Source organism: Homo sapiens, chromosome 1, assembly GCF_000001405.40.
Source record: "Homo sapiens chromosome 1, GRCh38.p14 Primary Assembly".
NCBI lineage: Eukaryota > Metazoa > Chordata > Mammalia > Primates > Hominidae > Homo > Homo sapiens.
In genome coordinates, this window is record NC_000001.11 from 217,920,856 (window position 1) to 217,939,928 (window position 19,073).

Below are 19,073 nucleotides of genomic sequence, written 5' to 3' on the forward strand. Positions count from 1 at the left end.
CATTTTCCCCATTCTTCTCACCCAAAGGAGCCTCTGAAGGAGCCCCAAGAAAGGAGCCCCAAGAATCTACGAAACCCCTAGAGCTCTGGGATCTAGTGATCACTTCATTGGATGGGTTTTCTTCTAGAGTCTCTTGAAGGAGGGACAATCCTAGAGTTCCCTTGTGAAGCTCTAGGGAGGTGGGACTTGCAGAAGCACAGTTTTGGCCAAATTATATGTACACTAGCCTACACTGGAATAGCAAGGAATTTGAAAGGATGCCATGGGCACCTCCTGCATCCTAGTAGCCCCTGAATGCTTAGACAATAAGTCTCTGCTTCTGTCTCCAGCCCAAGGTGATGCAGACTTCGAATTAGGAGCATGCAGTAGTGATGTTATCTGCATATGATTTTACTAGGCCCATTTTAACAACAATAATAATAACAAGAATAATGACATCAATAGTCACCACCACAGTGACTCAGCTGTTTGTTAAGCAATAACTGCATGCCAGGTGCACACACTCTCTCACTTCCCTGCTAAGTGATGCTGGCTAACTCAACCACTCTGTGCCTCCATTTTCTAATCTGTAGGATAGAAATAATAACACATAAAGAATTTTAAAGTGTTAGCTATTAATATTATCATCGATGACATGAATATATCTTCTCATTTTAAAGATGAATAAACTGAGGATGGAAGGGAAGCAACTTACCGAAGGTCACTGTCAAACAAGTGACTCCTGTTACCACCTCCGGGTGAGGAGTCCCAATGCACGGTGGAGAGCAGAAAGCTTAACAATGCTTACCACCAGGAGCAGCAGTCCCAGAATGTCAACCTGCTGCAGGGTTTGCAGGAAGCAGGGTCACCAAGGAAGACATGACTCATGCAGACACTGATGGAGCGATGCTTTAACACATGGAAAATAAACAGAGCAAGATTAGCTTCAATAGGGAGCATCAGTCCACAGTGCCAGTGAGTCTTGCTCTGGCTGATGTAGGGAGATGGTCTGCACATACCTCTCTCATGCTGCAGGCAAAGAACTCTTCCCTCCCTGCCGGGAACAGATAGAGCAGTGGAGTTGACTGAGTGCCATAGGACACACACACTTAAGTAGAACAACAATGTGCACATCGAGGTCTGAACAGGGAAAGGTATGCCCAAACAAAGAGATATGCCCAGCTCAGGTTGGGAGGACTCCTTATCTCTTTGCAAGGAAATGTGCCAGCCCAAGGTACATCCTTATGCAACCATGCAGGGGTCGAAAGATGGGGTGCACATGACTGCCTTTTCCAGTAGTCATGCAAGTAGTAATTAGTAGAGCCAGGACTTGACTTGCGTCATTTTTTCCAACTTTTATGTTACCTACTGACTGTGGGCAAGATACAGTGCTAGGCACTGTGAGGTCTGCAACACTGAGTCAGATACAGAAGTCAAGCTCTTCCTCAAAAAGCTTAGTAATGGAGAAAATAAAGGTATGCTCATAGATAGAACAGAGATTTTGATTTTAAAATCTCATTCTTTAATAACATATTCAACATATTCTCAACAGATATTGAGAACCTGACATTGCAGGGGCCATTCCAGGCACTGTGGTACAATGATGAATAAAACGGCATTTCCCCACAGGGCTGACTGTGGATACACGGTCCAGGAAACAGGCAAAGAAGTGAACAAAAAAATCACTGCGGCATGTATGTGTGAGGCACTATGCTAGGTCCAAGAGATAAACACAGAAAAAAATAAACACCTGAAACTATAGCCCTTGTCCTTGTTGGACACAAAGTCTAGAGGTGAGACAGAGAAGAACTGGGTGATTACAGAATCAGACTCACCATGAGGGAAGCTGTGCAGGGTGTTGTGGGGTACAGAGAAGGAACATCTCAAATTCAACTCCAGTATCATTCTTCCAGGAAGCCACCCTGGAGGAATAAATGTGAACAGGTAACTACAGCAACTATGTCACTTGTTGTCCCAACTGCTGAGTATAAAAATCAGTGTCAATATAAGTATACTAGGACAATAGGCATAAGCCAGGACAGCCTTAGAAAGTAGAACATAGGGTCAATCTACAAATAACTGAATAGATCAGAGGAAATATTTACAAGAAAAACAAATGGAATAGGAACGGTTGAAGAGCACTTATTGATGTAGGATTGGCAGGAGTTTACTGAGGAGACACAGCAAGGTTTGGGAAAATCATCACCTGTCCAAAAAACATATATATTAATATATTCATTTACAAATGTGCATGATATATATCATCTATGTCTCTAGCTATATAGATAAATGCACACAGATATGATTGCCACACAAAACAGAATGCTTACTTTTTCATATGAGAATCAGGCTTGATTTCTCCTTTCAATTAATCTAACACAGTAAAGAATAATAGTTATAGGCTTTAGAATCTGAGTTTGCATAGGGATTTCACCACCTACTAACAGTGTAGTAGGAGTATTGGCTAGAATATTTAACCTGTCCAAGTCTCAGTTTCCTTATCTATAAAGTGGGGTTAATAACACTTAATTCAAAGGATTGTTGTGAGAATTAGATATGTCTATTGTTGGAACATAGTAAAACCTTCAGAAAATAATATTTTATGTAGCTTTTAAAATAGTTTATGAAGGTATGTACATATGTACATATTGGTTATAAATGTACACATACTCAATGCTAAATTTTGCTAAATCCAAAAGATTTAGAAAATAAAGAGGTATAGAGAATAGAGAATAGAACACAAGTTACCTATTAAGTAGTTTACATAATCTAACTTGAGTAAAAAGATAATGTAACTGAAATAGTCAAGGGTTGGATCTTGCTTCAGGCATGGCTGGATCCAGAGGCAAATCCCTTGCCATCCAGGGTCTACTCTCAGCATTCCTAACCAGCTGTCTTGCTGCAGGGGACACAGTAGCTGCCAAGGACCACAAATGGGCACACCTCTAGAGGAACAATCCCAGTGGAAATTGAGCTTCTCCTCTAATAACTCCCCACAAAATACGGAGAAATCTCTGAACAGCCCATCTTTGATCTTGTGTTAAACCTCCAACTTGTCTGAATACTCTGACTAGCAAGGCCAAAGTGTATGTTTTCCTGACTGGGGTTGAGGAGGGCAGTCATCCCTACGTGAGCCTAGGAAAGGAGAATTCTGCAACCAACAAGTGGGACAATTAATGCAAACCGTGAAAAAATAACCCATACTCATGGGGCAAGTCGTCCCAGATTTTTTTTTTGTATACAAAAATATATATAATATGACCTTTTAAAAAGGTTTTTGTTACAAAATAGTTTATACTATATACTTTAAAAAATAACTTACTAATACACCATGGACTTTATATTGATGTGAATAAATACAACACTAATAAATCTTTTTAAAATGGTTGCATAGTATTTCACTATGTGACCACCTCTTACTTTATTTAACTATCATCTTATTAATTAAATGAATGGGATGGAGCCTTTAGGAAAGGACTATAGTGTGACTGATTAAAGGTATGTTTCTGTCTCATATTTGTGGCCCTGGGTGATGTGTGTGCAAGTGTGCACTGAAGTGCACAAGGTGGGAAGGGCACAAGGATGTTTACATGATCTAAGGTCATCAGAAAATGCCCATGCACTTGAGGCAAAAACAACATCAGAATTCATGACCCCTTGGCAACCTTAGAATCACATTACCAGCCAACCCATGGGCTCTAGCGAGCATTTAAAGCACATGACTTAGACTTAGTCCTCATCAGAAGGAGATGGGAATCTATATCAGATCCCGAATCTTGTGTAAGACAGACATAGGAGTTCACATTAAGAGCTTACATTTTGATGTCACTCAATATATGGAGGTCACATGAAAAACCGAAATGAACATACGACTTGAAATTTATAATGCATGCTCTAACCAGATAAGAGGGTTTGCAAGGTTCCTGAGAGTAAGAGGGTTTGTAAGGTTTCTGAAAGTCTGAACTCGCCAACTTTTGAGCTTGAGACAAAGAGAACATGCCTCTTTAAAAGACAATAACAAAAAGACGCTTTTTACCAAAAAATATAGGTGATGCAGATTTCTACATTTTCCAATGAATCATTGCTGTGGTTTTAAAAATAACCAGCTCTGGGTGCCAGCCTCACAGAAGGGCTCCGTTCTCGCCTTCACTTGCTGCTCCGGAGCGCGCTGAGTCAGCCGCGGCTCCGCTGCGCTCCGCGACCCCTCCGTGTGCCCGCGGCCGGCGGGACCCCAGGCCCTGGGCGCGCTCGGCCCAGGCGGGCGGCACAGACGCATGCCAATCTCAGGCCTCCCCGCCGTGACAGCCAGCGAGAGGACCAATTAGTGCTAGCTGTGATGTGGAGATGGGTTCGCCAGGATGAGCACCCCTCCCTGTTCTCTGGGCAGAGGCCACTGGCAGGGCCGTCAGATGTCAACGGCTTTCCATCACGCCCGCCCGGCTCGCGGGGCCTTTCCGGCACCTGGCCCAGCTGCGGGAATTGCTGACCGGAGTTCCCATAGCCCTCCTGCCTCCCAGGCCTTCGGATCCCTCCTTGGATGTAGAATACATCAGATATTAGTATGTTTGGCTCTTCTAATCCCAGGTGGGACTCCGAAGTGAAGATAAGCACTTTAAGAAAATAAACATTTGGATTTCTGGCCATTTTGCAGAATAAGGAAATGCCCTTGACATAATCAGGAGCCTCTTGTTTTGAGAGCATCTGAATGAAAGAATGGACATATGTGGACATACGTTTTAGGCTTGCCCATCCACCAATTCATTACATAAAAAACAAATGGCTTTGTAACTCTCCCAATATGAGAGATGATCAGATCTCACAAAACTGCTTGCAAATTACAGAGTACAATAAGAGATGGCAAATATTTCACATATATAAAAATTGTCTTAAGTAGAGCTCGCTTTGTACAATAGATTCTCTCCATAATATTTCCTGACAGGTGAATAACCACATAAGTAAAACGGCTAATAATGTGTTTTTTTCTTTAATCAACTCTTAATTCTGTTACTCCATTTGAACTGAGAAACGGACATATAATCAGACAAAGCCATTAATTCAAAATACTTTTCTCAAGTTCTACAATATATTACATGATTTGGCAAGCAGTAAACTTTGATTAAATCAATGGCAAACTTATGAATACATTTCAGCTGTATTGGGAGGTGAGGCATTTTGGAAATGCAGGTAGTAAAATAAGGATGGTAGCAGAGTGAACCTTCTAAATTTGTTAATACAGTAGGAAAATAAATGCCTTAAAGTAGTGCATCATCCAAATACAATGTTTCCTGTTGCATCTTGGAATGCAATATTTATAGCCTTTTCCTTTTCTGCCTGGCAAGATATATCCCTTATTCTGTTCTCTGAAGAAGAAGAAGAGGCATAGTTTCTATCCCCAAGGAACAGGACTCTAACTCCCTAACTCACACGAAATGCCACTAACTACACAAGAAATAAGTTTCAAAAGTATGTGTTGATAGAACTGGTGCCATAGGAGTTTGGTAATGAATAAGGCAAGCTCAGAATCCAGAAGATTACCAATTTTCTAACATTCAAATTTCATATTTTTGGTCTTCTCAATTCCTTGGCCTCCATTTTGGGAATCTACTTTGCATGAAATACTCAGAATGATTCAATCTTAGAAATACTAATGAAAATTCACCTCTCTCTCAATACAACCTCTAATCCATTTGGTGTTCTTCCTTCCTTACTCCATTTAGTCTACATGACTCTTACAGAGAGCTCCATATCTCAATAACTCCACCTCCCCCCCAATTTGTCTTTACTTCTTCCTCTCTCTAACCAAGTTCTTCTCATCCTTCATTCAACCACTCTCTCACCTATGGCCTTGCCCTCTTGCCTATTGCATATACAGAAACACCAAAACTTCAAGTATTTAATTGATGGGCTTGCCTGTGACCTCCAATTTGAGCAGCCAGACAAGTGTTCAACCATTGCATTAGAAAGCGTTGATGGATGAAGACAACAATTCATATCTTTTTTTCATCAAAAGCTTCAATCCATGTATCAGATAAAAAAGACTGGAAAAGCCAGGCACGGTGGCTCACGCCTGTATTCCCAGTACTTTGGGAAGTTGAGGCAGGCGGATCACCTGAGGTCAGGAGTTCAAGAGCAGCCTGGCCAACTTGGAGAAAGCCTGTCTTTATTTTAAAAAATGCAAAAAATAGCCAGACATGGTGGCAGGTGCCTGTAATCCCAGCTACTCGGGAGGCTGAGGCAGGAGAATTGCTTGAACCCAAGAGGCAGAGGTTACAGTGAGCTGAGATCACACCATTGCACTCCAGCCTGGGCATCAACAGTGAAACTCCATCTCAAAAAAAAAGACTGGAAAATATATGTGATGTTTCAGAATTTGTTGTTTTCTCACTAATCTCCTTTCTCCCCATTCCAAAAAAAAAAAAAATTCCAGTTGGAGAGCAAAGAGAAGGAGAGTGGGAAAAGAGAAAAAAGGAGATGTCAGTGTGTCCTGGGAGTGGTAGGGATAACTTCACAAATATTTCAGAATCTGAAGGCACAGGATAAGCACCCAATTTCTGTCTAGAGTTCTGGGATGGAGCAAGCCTTGCAGAGGTGCCTGGCAGCCAGAATGGCATAGGGACCAGGACAATAGTGATGGGTGAAGCATTTCTAGGGAGTAGTGAGAGGGTGGAGTCTCCAGCAACTCCAGAATAGCAAAAAGAACATTTAATACTCTGTATGCTCTTATTAGTCTCAGAAGGAACTGTGAAAGGTAGCTGAGCTAACTGGTAGACCTGCAGAGGCATTTGCAACCAGTCTGCAGAGAAGCCGCAAAAGAAGAAACAGTATAGGCCAGCCTGTGGAGATCAGTTATTATCTCTCAACAGAAGTCTCATGAAGATGACATACCAGAAAAATGGATGCTAAGAGTTACATCTCAGTGGAGTACAACAATGGGCAGAAGATCCCAACTGTTGACCAGATACTGCCACGGGAGAACTGCCATGACACTATGAAATCCCTAGGAGCCAGAGAGAGGAGGACCAAAGAATCCTGAATTTGCCTAAGTTAGACTTAGTTTGCTACTATGACTGATCTATGAGTGAATTTGATCAAATTTACCTGGAATTATCAGATTAAGTTTCCTACCATGAAAAACAAACAGAGGGCTCAAGATACCAGTTGAATTTAGTCATAGGAAAAAAATACATACCTTGTCACATAGCAGCTTTGGGAACTTAAATTTGTACTTGCCACCACACTTCATTGTCTCTCTGATGTGCTGACTCTTCAAAACTTTTATCTTTTAAATTCTCTGCTTTTATTCCCAAGCTGCTAAGCTCTGCTGAAGAAAAGCACACCAAATAAAGGAGGCTGGAGTGCCTGGAGGTGAGAAAGGTGTGCTTTGAGGTCTACCTTCATCTGATGGGCAGGATTTACACAGGTGAAGGAAGGGGAGGCAACACAATAAGAACTAATAGTTACATAGAGCATGACAGCTTACACAGAAGCCATATTCACGGATATTATCACACTCAATGCTCACAATAATCTTGAAAAAAATGTAAATATCCCTTTTTGTTACTGAGCAAGAAAATGCAGCTTATCAGCAGCAGAGATTAGAGTGACAGAACTTTTGTGACTTGATATCACATATTCTTTCCACTGTCCGATGCTCAGGAGACTTCTTTAGTGTCTGAAAGTTTTTGTCTTTGGTTTTGCAAGCTTCCTTTAGCTCATTTGGTAAAGGTTAGCTTTCACCTTCAGAATCCCACCTGATTTTATTACTATTACTCCCATTGTACAAATGAATAAACTGATACTCACTTGTTCAAGATCATGAGACTGTTAAGAGATTGAGCCCGGACTGAAAGCAATTTTGCTTTTTCAGGATTCAATGCCCTATTCATTTTATCCTACTAATATTAAGTTATAATAGCACATTATTAATGTTATATTTTTAGAGAAGCAGACGATTGCCTCATTCATGAAGAAAAAATGAATGACTGAATGAGTGGTTGAACTTTTTTCTTAGAGTCTTATGACTGTCACATATATATCATAATAGGAAACAGCTATATTTGATTTGTTTTCCATTTCCTTTCAATGAATTTAAATATGTAATTAAAATTACATATTTTAATCTAAAAAAATGAGAAGTGCAAATGGAATTTCTTGAAAAATTCCTAGGGCGAGCGAAGTATTACTTTCTAAGTGGAAAATCTTTCAAGTCAAATGCTTATCATTTTTAATTATTAAGAACCAGCTTCTCAATATTAACTTTAAAATCAGTGGCAAATTTGTCTGTTTGATTTTTAAATCATGTCTCACTGGCTTCCTTCTCTTTTTTTGATCATTTTGCTGCACTTGCAATTTGATATCTCATTCATGGCTCTGCTGTCTGTAAACTCTGGTTAGTGCAAAGCTCTGCAAAAAAAAAAAAAAAAAAAAAAGAAAAAATCTCTTATTTGACCATGAACTTTCGATGATCTAGTTAGCGTTACTGTCAAGCTTCCCGCGGTCTTTTTGAAAAGCAGGACTTGTCCATTCTGCCCTCTGGCCAGCTTCAGTGGGACTAAAGCGCTAGCAAGAGCCATCAAACTGCCTGACGGCTTGTCATCAGCGAGGATCCATTAATTTACACAGATTTTCCACTGTTTGGCATCTACCATGATAACTCTTTTCTCTTCCAAGCAGCTCCTGTTTGCATTTAACACTTGGGTTAATTTTCATCAGAGTTTAAATTTAGCCATCAGTTATTTCAGGGGAGCTGTCAGCCAACATATGGAGAGAGGGAGAAAAAAATCCTTCTGAATTTATAATAAAGTGGAATCTGTTGAATGTGAAACAAAAACCAACTGCAATATAGTGAGGCCCCGGTGGGGAGAGCGGGGTCAGCAAAGAATTGCAGAGTGGATTAGCTGTTCTATTCACCAGAGCCGCATCTGGGCACCTCAGGAGCTTCTTGATATATCAAAAAATGATGGAAAGACACAGTTCAATTTGTCCCCCTTTTATAAAGGATAATTAACCTGTCAGTCTTGCTACTTTAACAACTTCATTAAATTGGAGGTGAAATGGGTGCTGAGAAGTCTTGTCTTTATCCAAAAGGAACACAGGGCACTTGTGTAAATGGTGGAAAAAGAAAGAAAACACATACACGCAATACCCCAGTAATACTGTCTGGTTCCTGAAAAATGGAACATGCTTCTTCCAATTATGTAATAATCCTGCCCTTACTATGACCTGCTAAAAGTAATTTTCTTAACTCAGAAGGCAGAGGAAATAATGTCACAGCCCAACTAGGCCAGGAAAGCACACCACTTAAAAATTGAGGTTATAGGGTTTCAAATGCTGTTGGGCCAAACTATTTAAGACCTAGAGTGATGGCTACTAACGATGAACAGCATTTCACAGGTAATAAAAAGAAATGAAAACAGAGCTCCCTCAGTCCTCCACCTCTCCCTCTGCCACCCCCAACATTGGCTTCCATGGTTTGTTTCTTGGCGATAAATCATCTTTTTACTACTACAAAGATCTGAAACCTTAAATATATTCATTCAAGAGAAAAAGAGCACTTCAACAATTTTAGTGTCTAAAACCTTAAATAATTTTTCTTTCTTAAAGGGAACTTATTGAATATTTTAAGCAACTGAAATAGTAGTTCAGTTAAGATTATAGTCCTCTTCTCACTAGAAATTCTACTCTGAAAATAAGCATAAAGCACCGTAAAAAAATTAATTATAAAATATTTTTAAAATCTTCTTAAAATCAAAATTATGTTATTTCCAGTTGAAATGGAAATGATTTTATGAGATTGGTAATTCTGTCCTATAATATCTCATTATATTATCACAAAATAATAATTTAATGATCACAAAATAATAACAAAAAATTTCAACTAGCTATGGTAAAAATAAAATTTAACGTGCTTCTCTTGTCAAAGTAGTCAGAAATTCTGGGTATGATCATATAATTCTCCAAGAAAGAAATATTTTTTAATTTAAAAAACATGTTGAAAGATTAAAATTTTTGTTAATATTTTTCATAATTTTTAAAAATAAATATCTTGTAAAGTCAATATTAGCCCTTTAAAGTTTATAATCTCAAACCAAATTTAATTCATTATCCTTATAAACTATAATTTTTTACCTTAAATTCATTTAAAATGTTTCATTTTTGATAATTTGTGAATATACTAGGAAGGCAAAAATACAGAATCTTATATTGTTTTTAGTACGATAGGTGTCACTTAGACGAAAATCTTTACATTTTATTACAAGTGATTTTTAGGGAAAAAAAGTGACAGTGCCAAGACAATAATACTTACATACTTTATGTGGTGAAGAAGTCAGAATTTATCTATTTTTGTTTCATTTGAAACAAGATCTGGTGCAGCTCCTAGAACAACTAAGTTACTACAAGAGCTATTTAATTACTTTTTAAGAATATAGCTATTTGTTTTCATCCTTTTAAAAATGAAAACTGCTTAATTTCATAGAAACAGTCATTAAAAGAAAGATGACACTTCCGAAGATCAGTGGTATCCAGAGAATTTCAGAGCAACTTGGTTTTATTAGATCAAGTACAAGCTTTCTATTTACTTTGCCTATTTAAGGGTTGTATTTCTCATCAAGAAGATAATTCATTTTTGTCGCAGCTTTTGGAAAGGAAGCTGGGCCTCCGTCTTTTCCAAAGTGACTTTTCCCTGTTCCTGAACTCACCTGTCTCTATAGTTAGGCAATAATTAAGATGGAACATTTTGTATTGTCGCATCTTAGACCTCTGTCGGCACGCATTGGCAGAGAAGAATTGAAAGCTTTATTAGCCCTTCTCCCATAGTATTTTAAAAAAGGAATTGTGATTCAGAGTGGCAACTGTTCTTGCCACTGGTGCTTTTTCAACTTGTACATAATCTCAAAAAATCCTAGTGTTGGACACGCAACACCATGAGTGCTTTTGCGCAGCAATGACAATGACATCCCACCCTTTTATATATAGCACTTGGCTTGTTTACTTCCTGTGTCTTTTAGAGGAAAGACCCAAGGGCCATTGAGATTAGCAGCCTTCTCAGCAGTGTCACCCTTTCCAGCTGGTCTGGCACCAGGGGCACCGCACACTGAAAAGTAAATGACTCTGATTCCATCTGAAATAATGCTGGGAGACTGGAAATGTTAAGAAGGAAAGCGGCATCAGTCAGAGCTTATTGGACATTCGCTATATATAAACGAAATGGAACAGCGACGAGGGAGAAGGTTTTGTGAGCGAAATCCTAATTTGGCGTCCAGCGGTGGGTTCATTTTATCGTGCCTCTGAAAAAAGTTATAGAGTGACCCAAAGCTTAATTGTAGAAACCAAGTGACTCCACACCCCAAATAAAATATTCCAAATATGGAAACATCACCACCCTACGTCAATGTCGGTTCCTGATTTCTGCTTTCGTACTTTGAAATGAACCCATCTGACTGAATCAAGCTGTTCTGAACGAGGAAACTGTTTTAATTCAGCTGTGCATATCTTTCTTGTTGCTTATTTTAAAACAACAAATACTGCTAATTTTAGAGAGTAAAACTGAGCCAAAAGCTAAAATGAGCAGCTAGTACCCATAAATAAATGTGGGAAGAAGCTCAATTTCCTATTGTAACAAAATGATTAGATTGCCTCAGATTTAATCACAGTAATTTAGTCATTTTGTGAATGTAGGTCAGTCGTTTGTTGGTAGTAATGCTTTTTATTTAAAGGGCATAGTTTTTCACTAATAACCTTCAAATTTTCAGTCAATTTATTTGAAAGAAGTACAAAATTATCAATGAAGCATAAAGATAATTAAGTTTCCTTCTATAGAGCACAAATAAAACTATCTACAAAGAGTTGCCTGAGCCTGATTTTTAGATCAAGTCCTCACAGTTTGTGACTGCATTAGTAATTGAGACCAAAGTGATGGTTTTTAATAGAAATTACTTAGGTATTTGCACTGATTGTGAAAACCTGTTACCTTCACTCTGTAATTTTCTTTTTCCTATATTATCAGCAAACTATATCATAAAAGTTACCTCTACTACCACCACTGCAACAACAATAAAATGAGTAGAAATGTGATAATTACCTGAATAGTTTAAGTAAGTATATGTTGGGATAATTATCTGGCCATTTTTTTTAAAAACTATTAATTTGGTTTTGTGTCTATAAGGGCAGCTATACAAAGTTACAGAACCTCAGCATGGAGACTGAGAATGGAGATTGAAATTACTGTCTCACAATATAAATTATAATGTGAACACCTGTATTACTCTTTTTTTTTACATTTCCTCTGACCACACCTTAAAAGCAGAAATATTTAGTATCAAGTCACCAGCTCTCCATATGTAGTCTTAAGCTCTGCAAAGACAGGAATGACTGCTTTCTTTTTCTTTTCTTTTTTTTTTTTTTAGACAGAGTCTTGCTCTGTCACCAGGCTGGAGTGCAGTGACATGATCTCAGCCCACTGCAACCACTGCCTCCCGGGTTCAAGTGATTCTCCTGCCTCAGCCTACCAAGTAGCTGGGACTACAGGTGCGCACCACCACACCTGGCTAATTTTTGTGTCTTTAGTAGAGATGGGGTTTCAGCATGTTGGCCAGGATGGTCTTGATCTCCTGACCTCATGATACGCCCACCTCAGCCGCACAAAGTGCTGGGATTACAGGTGTGAGCGACCGCACCTGGCCAGGAATGACTCCTTTCTTTGGGGGCTGGAGGCTGTACTGCCTTTCAAGCAGCATATCCTGGAGAAAAAAAGGAGTGGAAACTCCACTGGTAGTAAACTTGCTGGTGAACAAACTTGATCTTGGTTTTGATTGCATAAAATATTTATGGAGTAGTTTACATTCCACATGTTTCATGGCTTTGTAAATACAAATTTGTATTGTTTTGGAGATATTCGTTTGAAGAAATCTTATGTTTAAGAAAGCTAAACTTAGATAGTTCTGAAATTAAGACTAATTCACAGATTTGGGGTTGGTTAAAAGACAGATTTTTTTCAGGACAGTAGGTTTACCTTGGTTCCAAGGGTTTCTCTTTGCTTCATTTTGTGAAAAATAATTAAAATTCTATGTGGCAATACATAGCCTATCTTTTCAATAAGAATTTTAAATTCTCACATTCTAGGGTTCATTTCTATCAATGCTTCATAACTCATTGTCTCTTAGCCAACATAATAAGTGCCATGGGGCATCCTTGTTAATTGTTAATTGAATGTTCTAGATAAGTAAGCACTGCCGTTCTGTCTTCTTTCTAGCTAGCTATACAGATCCTCTGGGTGGTCACCACTTATCACTGAAACCCTAGTGATCTCCCTCCTCTGAATCCTATAGCAGTTAAAGATCACTCATTTTTTATTCAAATACACCCTACCTCTGGCTAGTCATTATCTTTCAATATGGACTGTTCTCATCCCCCTAATCAAATTAAAACACTTTTGAGTACTTGCAATCTAGCAGGCTCCCAGGTAGGCACTGAGGAATGCTATGCCACATCATCCTCATAATGGGATGAGGAAAGCAAAATCATACCCATTACACAAATGAGGAATGAAGGAAGGCTCAGAGACATTAAATAACTTGCGTATAGTGACCTAATTATTCAATAAGGGATAATGTCTTATCCCATGGAATTTTTACCTCACAAGTCTGTATGTGTCTTGAGTCCAGCATAATAAATTATGCCTCTTTATACCACCTCAGTCACATGGTGCTGTGCTCCTGGAAAGTATTTATTATGTACTCTGTGATCCAGTAATGTCTAGATACTCTCCAGTTAGGCCGACAGTCTATGCAAAACTCAACTACATTATCTTAATCATTTGTTTACCTGTTTGTACCTTTTTAAGACAGGGACACACAGGTAAAAAGACGATTAAGATAAAGTGGTTGAGTTTTATCTTACTTATCATTGTATTCCCGATTTCAAACTCATGGCCAACTCTCAGTAATCAATGGATCCAAGGCTAGGGGAGGGCAATTAGAGAGGAGTACAAATGTTGGCAAAAGAGGAGAAGACCACCATCCTCCATGGTATCTGGACAGACAAAACTTCAGCAGTAGAAAATCCATAACACTAATGACTGATTAAGTTTTCCATTTAAGTGATAGAGATTTTACAACAAATAATAACCTTTATGCTATACCATAATTGTAGATGTAAATGGCCCATGAGATTTGGTAGAATTTACGTGGCCATTCACAAAGTCCCTGAAAGTATTTCATTTTTATTGAATCACTAATATTAGCTTGCTTCCTGGCCAATTATATTGTTCCTTAAAGTTTGTTTTTTTTTTTTAAGGCTGCTTCCCAGTCTAGAAACATAAGTGTATCTCTAACTGTGCATGCAATTACCACAGCTTCCAGGCACTGGAAGTTGCACCAGATATGACCCTGTGTGTCTGCCTTTGCCTCTTTGGCAGAGAGAGACACACACACAGTGATTCTTATAAAGAACAGCAAATAAGATAACACTTGCTCTTACGAGTTGAATTGTGTCCCCCACACAAGATGTTAAAGTACTAAACTCAAGTACCTGTGAATGTGACCTTATTTGGAAACAGGGTCTTTGCAGATGTAGTCAAGTTAAAATGAGATTATTAGGATGGGATATAACCTAATATGACTGGTGTCCTTATTTAAAAAGGGGAAATTTGAACACAGCGACGAATGTGCAAGGAGGAAAACACCATGTGAAGATTAAGGTAAAGATCAGGGTGATGCTTCTATAAGCCAATGAATGCCAAAGGTTGCCAACAAACCGCTAGAAGTCAGGAGAGAGAGACATGGAACAAATTTTCCCTCCCAGTCCTCAGAATGAATCAAGGCTGAGGGCCTTGACCTCAAACTTCTAGCCTTCCAAACTGTAAGAGAATACATTTCTATTGTTTAAGCAACTCAGTTGGTGTTACAACAGCCCTAGGAAGCCAAATATGCTTGCCTTATAGTAAGATTTAATGACAATGGCCTTTAATTAAATAGCTTCTGTCTCTACTTACAATTACAAGAAAAATAATGTTTTTCATGATTTTTTTTTTAAATTTAGCCCAGCAATTCAAATGTCTGGGTCATTATACACAAATTTGTGAATGAAATATATTATTTATAGTGCTTAAAACAGGCCAGGCGCAATGGCTCACACCTGTAATCCCAGCATTTTGGGATTCTCCCGAGGCAGGAGAATCACTTGAGCCCAGGAGTTTGAGACCAGCCTGGGCAACATGGTGAAACTTTGTCTCTACAAGAAAACAATAAAAAAAATTAGCTGGGCATGGTGATACCTGCCTGTATTCACAGCTACTTGGGAAGCTGAGGAGAGAGGATCACTTGAGCCCAGGAAATTCAGGCTGCAGTGAGCAGAGACAGTGCCACTGCACTCCATGCAGCATGGGCGACAGAGTAAGACCCTGCCTCAAAAAAATAAAAAAGAAAAAGAAAATAGAGTATTTAAAACAAAGTTATTTTGACATATTATCTCCTAATTACTATGCAAATAAACTGTATGCTAAGGATAGTATACAACAGAATATTTTATTAGAGATGCTTACAAGACATTCATTTATTGCACAGGTAAGTAAAGAGAAAATACAGATATGTCTACACAGGAAGATAGAAGTTGGTCAATATCCAAATGTGACACTATCTATGCCATTTTCCTCTGCACATTAAAGAAATTGATTGCAAATGAGAAATTGGTGCCATGTAGGAACTTTCTGAGTGGGCACAGAAAGACAAATACCACATGATCTCACTTATATATGGAATCTAAAAGAATCCAACTAACAAGTAGAGAGTAGAATGTTGGTTATCAGAGGCTGTGGGTGGTGGTGGGGGTGATGTTGGTCAAAGAGTACAAAGCTTCAAGTTAGACATGAGGAATAAATTCAAGAGATCTAGAGTACAACATGGTGACTATAATTAACAATGTATTGTATATTTAAAAATTGCTGAGAGTAGATTTTAAGGGTTCTCACCACAAAAAATTATATGTATGTGGGGTAATGCATATGTTAGCTTGATTTAGATATTCCACAGTGTATACACAAAACATCTTGTGGTACACAATAAATATATACAATTCTAATTTGTCATTTAAAAATTTTAAAAGGAGTTACATAAAAACACACAGAAAAAAAAAAAAAGAAAAAGAAGAACAGTTTAGTGATTGGCACTAGGGGTCCTGGGCAGATGCAAGGGCAAGGCATCAACTGCCTGGAGGCTGAGCTCTCCTTTGCTTCAGTAAAAGCTTCTTCGATTTTAATGGTTATAATGGGTTCCTGCAAGATTTTATGTGAAAACAGGGCCACATTGCTTGCAAAATAAATAAATAAATAAATAAATAAATAAATAAATAAATAAATAAATAAAATAGCATTGCTTTGGCATTGTTTCCTGACATGACCTTCCCAGCTTGTCTACCCTACAGTGTTATAGGCAATAGGTAGATAAGTAGATAGATAAAGCAATTCAAAGTTGGGGTTTTTTGAGATCACGCAACTTCACAATATCCCTTAAAATCACTGGATGAATGTCTGAGCATATTAAAATTCACATTTAGGAATCAATGACTCTTCTAATTATAACTTGTTTTTAGTGAATTCAAACCTTTTAAGAGAATTAAATTAGTTTGCTGACATCTTTTTTTTTTTTTTTTTTTTTTGAGGTGCAGTCTCCCTCTGTCGCCCAGGTTGGAGTGCAGTGGTGCAATCTTGGCTCACTGCAACCTCTGCCTCCCAGGTCCAAGCGATTCTCCTGCCTCAGCCTCTCCAATAGCTGGGATTACAGGCATGCGCCACAACACCCGGCTAATTTTTGTATTTTTAATAGAGACGGAGTTTCACCATGTTGGCCAGGCTGGTATCAAATTCCTGACCTCGGGTGATCCACCCACCTCAGCCTCCTGAAGTGCTAGGATTACAGGCCTGAGCCACCATGCCCGGTCTGCTGGTATCTTTATTCTCTGATTTGAAAACTGTAAGGACCCCCCCTGCTCTGAAATACTTCTGCTCATTCTGATGATCCTTTTCATTAAAATGCTTTCTAATAAGAAGTTGTCCTCCTTTCAGGTTTAAAGTAATATTCGTATCTTCAAACACCAAGTCGATTTTCTGATGTATAATGTCAGATCCTGACCAGTTGGTGATCTTCATTTAAGCTATAAGACAGTGTAATAAATATTCATTATAATCAGAGCTTCTAGAGCTTCTAGACCTCTGGTTGCAACTCAATAGGTCTGAATCTCAGCCAGTCTTGAATGTACCAACAGCTGTGCTATGTTGAGTTGCGCTATGTTGAGTTGCACATGACATGGGTCCAATAGAGTTCAGCTTCCATATGCACATCTCCCCAGATGCTGATCAACCTCAGGTTCCAACTTATCTAAGAGAGTAGATCTTAAGAAGGTTTCAAGCCACCTTCCTTTTTCCCCTCTTCCAAACAGCCCTTTAGCCTCAGCTAGGTGCCCACCAACTCCATGCCCAACTATTCCTTAATTCCACTCCATTTGTGTATTTACTCAGGCTGTGCTTTGTCTAAACACACAGCCCTTTAGCCACTTTCACCTTTAAAATTCCTTAATGTTAACTCAAGCCTCTTTGTCTCCTCTTGTTTCTCTAAAAAGTCAAATGTTTGGCTGAGTCCATGAAGTACAAGAAGATGAATGGCTTTCTCAGTGACCCCTCTCTCTGTTCCTTTTTCTCTGGTTATCATGTCCTCAATGTTTAGTGGTACACTCCTTAAATGCTTCCTACAGTTTCTTAAATTGTTTCTTATAGTGTTATGTCCATCTTCTTTCCCTAACTAGATTATAAACTACTTGAGAACACAGAGCAAGCTTTTTACTTAATTTAGGTTTCTCATAGCGCTAATAGGGCAGAACATTCACAAGTATTCAATTGATGTCTAAAAAAGAAAACTGGATTTAATTAAATGAGTTCTAAAGCATTCACAAACACAGAAAACATGTCAGTAGTAGTATTTCTGCTTTGACGGCAAAAGTAAGAGTGATGGTCAAGTCAATTTCAGTGGATATCCCTGACAGGATAATCAAGATGACATTGACATCTCCAGCTTCTAACAGACGCCACTCCTTCAGACTTGTGGTTAGTAATAAATCATTCACCTTTGACACAAACCATTTAGCAAAGGTGTTTCAGCTTAGACTCAAGGAAGATCCTGAAGCTTGGAAGTAGGGTCCCTATTATAACCCTTGTTCAATTCTGTGCAACTGGTAGGTATTTAATAAATGCCTATTAAAAATGAATGGACTAATATAAGGTTAGAGCCACCACCAATGACAATTGCAGAACTAGTGCCTTTCATTCCAGTAAGCCAGAGATTTTCATTTTTTCCTTTTTTTTATATTAAGAGAAGATAATAGATAATTAAATTGCCTTCAAACAGCTCTCTGAAATATGACTCTAAAAGCTACAGTAATTTTCTTCAATATCCTAGTCTGAATCCATTTGTTCCTTTTAGAAAGGCAAATTAAAATACAGCCACTTGAACAGAAAACAGAATAATCTCTTCTCTGTACTCTCTGCAGCCACGGAGAGGAGCAATCATCAGCGTTTACACTATTCTCTCAAACAGCAGTCTCTTCACTATTCCCTTTGCTGACAAATTGGTGATAAAGTGACATTTCTAATTATTCAGTACCTGAAAGGGGTTTACACAGTTCACAGTGTTGAATCCACACATTCGATGTATTTGGGTCGAGGTATCCATTAACGCAATACAAGCAAACTGGCTGTTAGTTTCTTGTGATCTGTGAAAAGTCCTCCTCTGAATGTTCTGTGCTTCTTCTTCTCCAACTTTGTCTTTCCTTATTATTTTCCAGTTTGGAAAAGAAAACTCTACATATTTAGAGAGCAGCTGCCGCCCATGTCTTATTCATTGCATGCCACTATTCTGTTTCTTCAGCAGTCTGACTGCAAATTTCAGTGATCACATAGGTAACGGGGCATCTGGGATTTCTAGGATAAAACTAGCTGTGTCCCCATAACACTTACTCCTAGATCCCCTCAGTATTCAGATATTATATTCAGTCTGCTCTTATCCATATCGTTTGAGTTGGAGCTCCTTCATGTATTTCGTGTGTTC

General features: G+C 38.6%; 1 long non-coding RNA gene across 1 annotated transcript in view; it reads right to left on the bottom strand.

Moving 5' to 3' along the window:
• Window positions 1-19,073, bottom strand: part of LOC105372922 (uncharacterized) — a 132,858-nt gene that overhangs the window by 4,786 nt on the left and 108,999 nt on the right. Inside the window, exons 6-7 of the long non-coding RNA XR_001738466.2 lie at window positions 1,815-1,901; window positions 695-888 (exon numbers count right to left, since the gene is read on the bottom strand). This is a non-coding gene — a long non-coding RNA (uncharacterized LOC105372922). The remainder of the gene's footprint in view (window positions 1-694; window positions 889-1,814; window positions 1,902-19,073) is intronic.